We start from the raw sequence: 12,249 nt of genomic DNA, 5'->3' as shown, positions 1-12,249 counted from the left end.
GAGGTGTTTGGGTAACTATCTGAGATCTCGCAATTGTAGCAAAGTCAGCACTAGAAAGCAGTATTCCCTCTCCCAGTCAAAAAACTAATGTGTTTCCGGTCCAACATTGTGCCTTCCTAGAAGCCTTTCATTGCACCATGCTTTTCACTACATTCAATCACCCCCAAAACACTCTGAATTTAGACTTTGATACCTTAGCACAGTGATTCTATCTGCCAAACATTGGTTTAGTTTCAGCAGTATTGCCATCTTTGCACAGGAGAGTTTCTGTAACTATTAGTATTGAAATGCAGAATTGTATTACTTTTTTTTTTGAGACAAGGTCTGGCTCTACTGCCCACGCAGGAGTGCAGCATGCAGAAACATGATCTCAGCTCACTGCAACCTCTGCCTTCTAGGTTCAAGCCATCCTCCTACCTCAGCCTCCCAAGTAGCTGGGATTACAGGCACATGCCACCATGCCCGGAGAATTGTCGTATTTCTAGTAGAGATGGGGTTTCGCCATGTTGCCCACTCTGGTCTCGAACTCATGAGCTCAAGCGAGCTGCCCACCTCAGCCTCCCAGAGTGGTGAGATTAGAGGCGTGAGCCACTGCTGTATTACTACTTAATTTAAAAGATCAAAAGAACTAAATAAAAGTGCCACAACTGGTTATTAAAATCATTGGCTCATAATATTAATTTATTTGAGGTAATGATAGGAGTTCCTTGTACTTTTCAATCTGCATCTCAAAGAGTGATCATCTGTTCCAAAGTATTCAATGAATACTTGTGAAACTGAATTGAACAAAAGTGAATTGAATTGAATTGAATTGAATCGAATCAAGTGATCCACCCACACTGGAAACTGTATTTACTCTATGAGACCACTAGGAGGAGATGCAATTTAGAATATTAAATTATTGCTGGGAAACCACAGATGACATCTTTTCTCCACCCTGAGTCTTATTTAGGTATTGAAATTTAAACCAATGTTGTAGTTGGCATTCGAGAAGATGAAAACAGGCCATCACTAAAGAAAAAAAGATCTTTTACTAGGTTAGGTAAAACGATAATGTATTCTTTATTTTGAATAAAAATATGTCAGTGCTGAGGCACCAGTGTAGGTTTATTGGGGAAGGGATAGTCTGGGGAAGGCCTTGAGAATGTCCCTGCAGTGCAAGAAAGATAATTGTCCTTTTTTAAACAATGTTCTTCAGAAATGAGAAAACCTATCTTGGTCTGAATTCCCTATAAACAAAGAAACAAACAAAACCCCGCCTGGTTATTAATCTTAAAATGCTATATACAACACAGATGGTGGTAATGAAAGATGCAGTTCAATCCTTCTCTATTAATGAAAAGTTTTAAACTGTGTAATTGCTGTACTATTTCATTTCATCCTTTTCTGTCATTTTAGTAATATATCTAAGCCAAACAAAGAAGTGTCTACAATAAATTACTATAAGAGAATACTGTTTTCTCAAGCATAAATCTGATGAGAATGGAACTTTAATGATTCTGACTGTGCCTATGTAGCCTTACATGGAACCATTAGATCAACAAAGCCAGCTGTTTTTAAGTTCCATCAGGAGTCAGTATTAAAATAAAAGTAAATATTAAGTCTGAATCTAATTCTATTTTATAAATATTGTCAATTTTTTAAATACTTTGCTTGATTCTCTTTTTAATTTTAACTTCTTCGACTTGATTATAAAATATTTTTTCTTCTTTTGTATGTCAGATAGTATGTTTCTCCCTGGAAATAAGGTTCTTTAAACTACCCTCATGATTCTACCTACCACGTTTAACCTCTAAGGGCTCCAGGATATATCAAAGAAGAATTATGGCAGGACTATAGAATGATTTTCTATACATTTACTTAAGCATATTATAAATGTGAAGTTTTGCTACTTAAGTAGGATCTTCAGAATTCAGGATGTTCTGAAAGATTTGGGCAAAAGGAGATTTATACATACACCGGATCAAATTTCCAAAACAAAAAATATAGACAGACTTTCTCAAACACTAGCTTCTACAGGATGATTTGCTTTATTTTGGGATATCATAATGTCACTTTCTGCTAGTATACATTATATATACTGATTCATGAAGCAATTTCACTATCAGAATTCTCAGTATAATCAACAACAATGGAGAGGAGGTGGAAGCCATGGATACTTATTTAGCACCTACTATTTACCATACACCTACAGTTTATTTTCCTGATCCATACTCCAGAAAGAGCCTCACAACTAATGAATTTTATGGGAAAGGGAGAACATATATGTGTATACATATATTTAATAAAAATAAAATTTAATAATTTACATTCTCTATATAACTATCTATATAATGTAAATATAACATATATAAATATATATATTTATTTATTTATATAACTTCCCTAGGAGCCAGAATCAAGAACAAAACACTCTTAGTCAAGATATTCTTTAAATAGCAGGAATTGTTTGGATGTCATGGTTCTATTTTATTTAAAGGGGGAGTATATTTCTAAGTAGTCAATCTTTTTTTCTAATCTAGCTGGAGATGATGGAGTCAATGTGCTTCATAAGGAATGTCCTTACTCAAAATGATCATGGTGTCACAACCATTCTATTGTTTCTGGTCAATTTCTATTTTAACTCAGTACATTTTAAAATCAACAATTATTGAAAAGGAAATCTGTATTGTTCATGACAGTTACACCATTCTTTTCTAAAACAACAGAGACTTTATTAAAAGCAAAGTTGCATACGGCCATTTCTTGAGTTTTTAATTTTATTACCAGTAAAAAGAACAAAACATCAGACAAGACTATTGTCCGATCCATCTGGTGCTATATTTCCTCCACACAAGACTTGTATCACACACACAATATTTCAACTGCAAATGTTGTTCAGCTTTTAAAACAATTGCCTATCAAAGCATCCAGGTCCCATTGATAACGGAGCAAAGCCTTTCCTGCAATTGTGAGCCAGGAAATGCTGGCCCCTTGGCAAGTCTCATATGTCCTGTTGCTTGTAATCTCCCTCCCTCCTTGCTGGAATGTGTTATTTTTAAGCAGCTAGACTAACAGGAAGAGAAAGTTGTACTTCTTTTCATGATATGGAGGCAGGCAGGGGAAGGCAGTAAAGCAAGAAACTGTTTCAGGAATTGAGGCTGATCAGATCTTAAAACCACTTACCAGATACCTAGCCACAGCTGTGAGAAAAATCTCCAGTTCCAAACAGTTTGGAATCAGTAGTAAGTCCACCATTCCATAGCCCAATACATTTTGCAGGCTCTGTGGACTGAAAAATTCAGACACAAACTGTACTGAAGGTGTATAGAACTTCATTGTTCTGTATTTACATGGATTAAAGAATGTGTTTCATTTTGCAGAGCAGCTCTGAGAATAAATCACTCTAAAGAGAACCACAGAAATAGAGACACATTTTATATCATGATGATTGCTGAATGTTGAACCAACATTCAATGGAACATTATACTGAAAAGCATAATTGCATAATTTGAAAAAGAAACACACTCTCATACTCACCTATGTCAGAAAGAGTATTACATATTCAATCTATCATATCTGTGTCTATAAAAATGATTTCATTACTTAAATAATTCATTTTTTCCTCTAAGTGTTTGCTTAAGGACAGGTCAGTGTTAAGAAAACAAAAATTGACCAAGGGCGTGATGAGTATGAAGGGCACTTTGCCTTGCTCATCTCAAACAAAGCATGTTTCTGCCTTAGATGTTTTGTTCTTGATGTTCTCCCTAGAATGCTCTTCCCCAAGACTGGCAAGTCTCCCTCTCTCCTTTAATCAGGCTTCTGCTCAAATGTAACTTTTGATGACTATCAAATCACACACACTACTCTATCTTCATGGACTTCCCCACTTTATGTTTTTCATAGCCCTTAGCATCACTGATACACTCTATACATTTACTTGTTTCTCCTGTGCTTATTTATTAACAATTTCTCCTCAAAGGAACGTAAGGCCCATGTGAGCAGAGACTTTGTTTTGTTTACTATGGCACTCCAAGCATGAGGAGAGAGCCGGCCATGGCAAGTGGCAGACGCTCAATAAGAAAATGTGGAATGGTTGAATAAGTTAATTTCTAGATACTTCTTAGTTGGTCATGGAGTACACTTAATTCCAGTTTTCTTTCCTCTTATTCATCTAAATAGTTCAAATAAATTGAAATTATAGCAATATATTCTAATGTATATGAAAGATTTTCCCTAGATATTATTAATACAAGTCCATGAAAGTCACAAGAAAAAAAAAATTAGTATGTGCCCACGAAGATAACCAACTACTAAACACTAAGAAAGGAGCTGAGATATAATTAATTTATCATTGTTATTCTTTCCCTCATCCATTCTTTATTTTCCCTAATAATTTAACATTAAATGATCATGAATTTAATCATGCAAACATTTGCAACTGCATACCAAAGAGCCAATACCCTTTCAACCCCACAAACTTTACTAATATGTAGTTTCCCTCAATGCCTACGAAAAGCCTCCAGTATCTATCCCAGATTTATTCATCAATTTTTGGCAGTGTTTTTTGTTCATTCTTTTTTTTTTTTTTTTTTGGAGACCAAATCTCACTCTGTCACCCAGGCTGGAGTGCAGTGGTGTGATCTCTGCTCACTGCAGCCTCTGCCTCCCAGGTTCAAGTGATTCTCCTGCCTCAGCCTCCAGAGTAGCTGGGATTACAGATGCATGCCACCACGCCCAGCTAATTTGTGTATTTTTAGTAGAGATGGGGTTTCACCATGTTGGCCAGGCTGAATTTGAACTCCTGGCCTCAAGTGAACCGCCTTCTTTTGCCTCCCAAAGTTCTGGGATTACAGGCGTGAGCCACCATGTGGCCTTTTGTTCATTCTTTAGAAGTCAGTTATAAGTACTAATGGATTTTAAGTTGATTGGTATTTAGAATATTTCAGATATCGCTCCCTTCGGCCAACATTTAATGCTTTCAGAATATCTTAAAAAATAGAAGAAAGAAACATAGAAATGATAAATAAGTATCAAAGAGGTACAATTTTATTAAAATTGAATTTCTATTTAAATTTTAAGCCCTCAATTGGGTTTTACAGGTTAAGGGGAAGAAAGATTGATCAGGCAATTTTGCTTATTTCAACACATGAAGTTGCTAGTACATTGGTTGACTCTGGTTCCTCTGTCATTCTGGATATCAAAGCAAGCCAGAGTTTCTTTTTTGTTTGTTTTTTTGCTTGCTCTTTTGAGACAGAGTCTCTCTCTGTCGCCCAGGCTGGAGTACAGTGGCATGACCTTGGCTCACTGAAACCTCTGCCTCCTGGGTTCAAGCGATTCTCCTGCCTCAGCCTCCTGAGTGGCTGAGACTACAGGCGCGTGGCACCACACCTGGCTAATTTTTTGTATTTTCAGTAGAGATGGGTTTTCACCGTATTAGCCAGGATGGTCTTGATCTCCTGACCTCATGATCCGCCTGCCTCCGCCTCCCAAAGTGCTGGGATTACAGGCGTGAGCCACCGTGCCCAGCCTCCAGCCAGAGTTTAATATGCATTGTGGTGCAGCAGAAAGGACAGTGAGTTTGTTCTTCTACTTTCCTTACCACATTTTTTTTCTGCATTAGAGACTTGGACAACTTAGAGAAGGCCTCCCCAAATCAGTCATCCAGTAGGAAGAAAAGATTCAATAATGAGGTAAACTTTTCCAGTGTTTTTCACGAGCCTTCCCCATCTGGGTCTTAGATTGACAGAACTGAATCTCCAGGAACTAGCACTCTCATGTGGCTCACATGGGCCTCCACCCCTCTCAGGTTTGCACCCCAGACATGTGGTTACTGGACAGTTCAAGAACTTGAAACTCTCTGACAATACTCTATTTAGTCTTAATGCAGAGCAAAGTCACATGCCCCTGCCTGTATCTGATCCCTGTGTAAGACGCCAGATTCAACTGAACCTGACAAAACGAACATTTTTCATTCATCCACACATTCACCAACTTTGAATGTTAAATGCCTATAACCATTTTCTGGGCCCTTTCCTGGGCTCACTGTCTTCAAAGCCATGGCTTTGTTCATTCATTGTCTCTATGTTCTATGTTTCCTTGTTGTGTTAAACCCAGACAAGTCAGCTCCGGGTTCATATACCTAAATGACCACTTGAGATCTCCATTTGAGTTTCTCACCAACGTCTCAAGCTCAACACGACTCAAAACTGCTTTCCTCCAGTGTATCCTTGCTCAGTACTAAGCACTATTGCCCATACAACTGTTTAGTCCAATATTCTAGGCCATCCTTATTTCCTTTCTTTTCCTCATCTCATACACAATCTATTACTGGTTTCTATTGTTTATGCTTCCCTTATATTGCCTAAGTAAGTACAATTCATTCTTGTCTCATTTAAAAGCTACCACTGAAATTATTTCCTTCAAAAATATGCCAGGGTTTACTCTTTTATTTCTTAAATTTATTTCACATATTATTTTCAATACATTGCTTTTATAAAATGCAAGTCATAAGCTTCAAATTTATGCTATAAATTCTTTATTTTCTTCCCACTTCCCATGGAAACATGATCCAAAATGCTTAATATGGCCTACAATGACCTCCATGATCTGGCTTTGCCTAATGCTTCAGTCTCATTTCTTAACACTGCCCCCTGCAGTCTCTCAGCTTTAGTCATAATGCATAAAAATGCCAATTCATGTGCCCGAAATGTTCCCCACTCCCATCACCTAGGTTACCAGCATGCATTCTTCAGGGGTCACTGTAAACATCATCTCCTTAGAGAAGTCATGCTGATTTCCTCTTACATGCATTTCCACCAAGCTTTTAGGGCTTGAAAAATTTTTTAAACTTGTAATAATTGAGCATAATATAATTTCTCTTAATGCTTACCTTTTCCTTTTTACTACAAGTACCATGAAGGCAAGAAATCATGCCAAGCATGGTCATTTCTGTGTCCCAAAATATCTGTCACAATGCCTAATATATAGTAAAGACTCATTCAATATTTGATAAGTGAGCGAACAAAAATAATCATTATTATGGCCAAGTTTGTGGTCCCCAAGCTGCTGTTTCAATTTTAAGAAGCCCATTCAAAATTCTTAGCTGCCAAGAGAAAACTTGAGTAATGTCTCTTTGCAAATCATTATACTCTTTCATTTCTCTCTGTGTTTAAAAGCTATTTCTTTATCCTAGAAAAAAATGTCATTAGCAGTTCTGTAAATATCAGCTAAGAAAAAAGAAAATAATGTATCAAGAAAGTAAATTGAGGAAGATAAACAAATCAAACATATCATGGAAAGAAAAAAGTATAAATTGTGATTTAAGAAAATGTATTGAAATTTGAATCTATGAAAAGTCTAAAAGAATAAATTTTCTATTGGAACAATAACGGAAATAACATCAGATTTATAATTTTTTAAAAAAAGCAGTTAAAACCAGGCTCTTCTTGACTGGAGGGAGAAAATAAGAGGCTGGTAAATAAACCTGAAGAGGTAACTTAGAAAGGTTTGTGTAATAGGAATGAAAATGATTTTTCACATGTCACAAGAAAGAAACATCCATTGGAATCCACTCTGAGGGTAATGAGCAGCTCGATTGGAATGTGAGCGGGAGGATGAGATGTCACAGAGCAACACTGAGAAGTACGGGCAGGCCTGGCCAGACAAATGCAGTGTTAAAAATCACACAGTGGCAGAGCTGATAAAAACACATGTGTTTTCTCTCCTAGTACGTAAGACAGTAAATGCTGCCATTTAACTTCAAGTCTTACACTTGAAAACCCTGATATTGCAGATGTAACATAAATTAAGAGAAAAGGATGTGACTTTATTGGTTAAAAAAAAAGCAAATGCAAATTTAGAAAGCTCAGCATGTAGAAAATTGAAAACAGAGAAGGAAATTGTTTCTAGATAGTATTCTAATTCACAAGGTTTAATTTTCAACTGATAAAATATAGCACAGCCTTGACCCTGAAACATTTGATTTAACAAGCAAAGTGCTTTGGAGGAAAGCAATGTATTTTCATAGCTCTCATAGGGAGCAAGGCGATTAGCTCAGTTAGGTAAAATGTTATTGGTATTAATTAGTTTTTAATATTTCTCTTTATCACTAGGCTTTCTGAATGTTTTTAATTTGGCTCCCTAACTTTAAACCCTTTAATAACCTCTCACTGTGCAGGTGCAAAGCCCTGCCACGATCGGCTGATCTGCCTTCTACCTCCTGCTCTCTTTTTTCACCACTCCTGCCCTACCCCTCTGCTTCCTCCTCACTGTTCTCGGAGCTGTCTCTTGAACATATCAAGTATACTTTTATATCAGGGCTTTTCTCCTTATTCCCTCTAACATGGAGACTCTTCATATTTTCTGCACCACGGACCCTTCCTGGAAGGAGGTAAAGCAGATAGAGGTTTCTCAGAAAGATGTTTCATAATGCATACAAAATTCACAGAATTACAAATGTAATCAATTCTATTGAAACAAAAGTATCAAAAAGATTTTAAAGCAAATTTTTATAGTAACATATATGCTTTTTAATTAATTCATCAAACTGAGATCTAGCAGCACATCTAAGAATAATCATAATGCCAAAATAGAGATGACAGTAAATGATATTTCAGGGTATCTTAACACTGTTATATAAAATACAATATCTGTAAATTAAGTACCAACATTACAGGTGCTGCTAGGACTCTTGTGGATTACTGATAAAATTCAAAATTGAAGGGAACACTAAATTTCACATACAGGTTATTGGGAGGAATATTTCCATATTTTTTTCCAAATCAAGTTCATAGGCTACCTGAATTCTAGGAGGGAGGCCAGACTGAAAACTCCTGCTTAATGAATCATCATTTTCCAAGATATCTATGTTACTCAGTTTTCACATTCTTCAATTATCTACCTACGTGTCTCTTTATAATAAGGTTTTCTCTGAGCATCCTAGTAAAATAGCACCCCTTTGTTTGCAATTTTTTTTTCTTTTAGATGGAGTGTCTCTCTGTCACCCAGGCTGCAGTGCAGTGGCACGATCACAGCTCACTGCAACCTCCACCTCCTGTCCTGGGTTCAAGCGAGTCTCCTGCCTCAGCCTCTGGAGTAGCTGGGACTACAGGTGTGTGCCACCATGCCCAGCTAATTTTTTGTATTTTTAGTAGAGACAGGGTTTCGCCATATTAGCCAGATGGTCTTCATCTCCTGACCTCGTGATCCGCCTGCCTTGGCCTCCCAAAGTGCTGGGATTACAGACGTGAGCCACCGCGCCCGGCCATGTTTGCGATTTTATATCCTCATTATTTTATTTTTCTCCATAACCCTTATTGACCTACCATATATTTACTCACTTACATATTTCCTGTCTCCCTAATGTCGTTTAAGTGCAAGAGTGTTTTTTTTTCTTTCAATCACTGCCATATTTCCAGCACCTAGAAAAGTGCTTGGCACACAGTAACAGTAAGCCATCAATAGATATTTGTCCAATGCCTTGGATGAATATGATTGTTTAGCATGACTTACAAAACTTTTTAAGATCTCATTTCTGATTATTTTGCTAGTCTCACCTTCCCTCCTTGACTCACTGTGCCCCAGCCACTGTTGTCTTCTTTCTGCTTTTAGGAGGAGCAAGTGCCATTCTGCCTCAAGACCCTAACCCAGGCATCTGAATCTCTCCTGAGTGGTCTCCCTCCATTCCTTTTCAGCTCCACTTGGCCTAGTGAACTCCGACTCATTCTGCAAGTCCCAGTACACCTTCTTTAACAGTCTGCATGAGGCAGACTCTCACAGTTCACTCTATATTTCTTCCATGACACTCTTCCCAAATGTAACTAAAGGATTACTTGTATAATTTTTCCTTTAGCATTTGTTTTTCAAACTAGACTGCAGCTCACTGGAAGCAGGTCACTGAAATTTAGAAGTGCCCAACCAACATCTTTTAAATGAAATCAATAAAGCAAAGATGTCACAGAGACAACTCTCTACAGATTCTTCTAAATGTAAAACTTGGAACACAATAACAAAGTTAGTTGGCCTAGCTTGAGCAATCATTGCTTGCACCTGTTGTCTTTGAATTACATTCTAACGAGATGGCAGAAATCACTCATAAATATTTATGAAGACAAAGAATTTGGCACAAACTAGCACTGGGTTCCAAACTCTAAGTGATGTTATTTCTTGTTCAGTAGCTATCCAGTATCACAGCCACCAGTCCCATCCTAAAGTGCTGCCAAAAACTTGAACTCCAGAAGGAGTATTTTTCCCTCTAGCTTGATTATAAAGCCTGAATTTAGATTCAACAGTTTCATATAATTTAATCTTAAGGGAAATAAGTTCTTTCATATTATCTTAAAACTGCCCATTTTCAGTAAACAAAATACTATGTAAGAGATATGTTGCATATAAAAGTAAGCAGTGTAAATGAAAGGAAGGATATTTTCCTTCTCTTTAGTCCTACTGTTTACAATCATGGTTAGGACAGTGATGTTGGTTAGGACAGTGATGATGGACAGTGATGATGATGATGGACAGTGATGATGAGGATGGAGTGAAGAATATTCAATACAGACAAGGGAGTTAAGGAAAAAATTGTAAAACCCAAAGTCAAACCAAGCTAACAAAATCAGCAATACCATTAGAATCCCCAAGAAGTAAAAGTTAATACATTTGAGGAGTAATTATGAACACAATTCTTCTCTCCAGAAAATACCTCCAGGTTCGTTATCATCAATACAGACATTTTATTACATTTTTAGAATACTTTATTGCTATCTATCCAATTGTGATTAAGTCTTAGAGGATTTTTATGCCATGTTCCTGTCTTTATTAACTGTCAGAAGACTATACCTCAGTGCTGGTATTTTGAAGGAAATATTGCAGAGTAGTTCAGGACTCCAGCTGTCATCAGTGCACAAGATGAAAGACCCGAACATAAAGTTAAGTGAGATCAAGTCGGTTATTCTTAATTTTAATGTCAGATAATTATTCGAGCATAGAAAAGTAACTGAATTATAGTGTTGGCATTATTAGTAGGGAGTAATTTTCACTTCCATCTAACACTTTGGGAAATGAGGCAAATAACACAAGAATCTCTTGAAAGTTACAGAAATATTCATAATTGTAAAGACATTTTCTTCTTTTCACAAATTTGGAGCCCGTTTAGAGAGCTTTATAAAGACAACAGCCTGCTCTTGAAATGGTTGCGAGCAAAATGAATTAAACCACTTAGAAGACAGAAATTATCTTAAAGAAATTACTCCAAAATGGGAGGAAGGTTAATTGGTGTACTCTTCAATTATTTTGCAACAGTTTGTAGGTGTTAATTTAAATTTTTTTATAGTAAATAATATACTCTATTACCATATCTAAGAAAGAGAAACAGTGATGAATGATAGAATTACACATGTCCAATATTAATTCCACTGGACATAGTAAAGTCATGACACTGCCTGTTGCACCAGAAGGAGGCCAGGGCTGGTGTGTTGCTGTGTTTACATGCACACATATAATTGCCACTAGCCGTTGTTCAATGCACTTTCTATAATGCGATCACTGAACAAGAATTAATTCTATTCTGTATACTCCCTCACACACACGCACACACACATGGGTTCACAAAGCTAGTTTTGAGGAAAGTCAGAACAATAATTTCTACGATAACATATCTACACTGAACAATATAAACCACTAAATTTCATAGCAATAGGGGAAAAGTGATGTAATTTCTAGTAGAATAACAATATTTATAAAAAATCCTTTGGTTTGCCTTGATTTCAAAAAAAGTGCACATAGAGATTTTTGTTTTGCAAATCCAATCATGAGTGTTGTTCACTTGTGCCCATCTGCATTAAATACATTTTTGTTTATCTGGTTAAAAACCAACTGCAAAACCACTGCTTATCAAAATTAATATCTGAAAAATCAAACCAGTAATCTGCCTCACTGGCTTCAATATATTCAATTAACATAAATACTTCATGTTCTATATGGCAAGTAGTTTTCTATGCAACAGGAATACCTCTGTAAGAGTCAGGGAGAAGAAAATTTATATTAGAACAATATGGAATGCCTTTGAGGAGCAAACAATAGAAGCAATTCAGAAGAGGCTGATTAACTTGTCTCAGGAAGGGAAAGGAAGGGTTCATAAAGAAGCCTGCATTTGCATATGTTTCTGGAAAAGAGTATATATTGTCTAGGTAAAAATAATGAGACAGCATCAAAGCCTTAAGAAACATGACATTGTAACATCTCCCCTATACCAAGATCATAAAGTAACCTCCA

General features: G+C 36.6%; 2 annotated features.

Moving 5' to 3' along the window:
* Window positions 2,816-3,110: a silencer, noted in NCBI's record as "tiled region #14356; HepG2 Repressive non-DNase unmatched - State 24:Quies". NCBI's record gives its function as "represses a minimal TATA promoter and a strong SV40 promoter by Sharpr-MPRA in HepG2 cells {active_cell/tissue: HepG2}" and the evidence as "EXISTENCE:reporter gene assay evidence [ECO:0000049][PMID:27701403]".
* Window positions 7,436-7,730: a silencer, noted in NCBI's record as "tiled region #1143; HepG2 Repressive non-DNase unmatched - State 23:Low". NCBI's record gives its function as "represses a minimal TATA promoter and a strong SV40 promoter by Sharpr-MPRA in HepG2 cells {active_cell/tissue: HepG2}" and the evidence as "EXISTENCE:reporter gene assay evidence [ECO:0000049][PMID:27701403]".

Source organism: Homo sapiens, chromosome 4, assembly GCF_000001405.40.
Source record: "Homo sapiens chromosome 4, GRCh38.p14 Primary Assembly".
NCBI lineage: Eukaryota > Metazoa > Chordata > Mammalia > Primates > Hominidae > Homo > Homo sapiens.
Note: the sequence above shows the minus strand (reverse complement) of the source record. Positions and strands in the feature narration are given on the sequence as shown.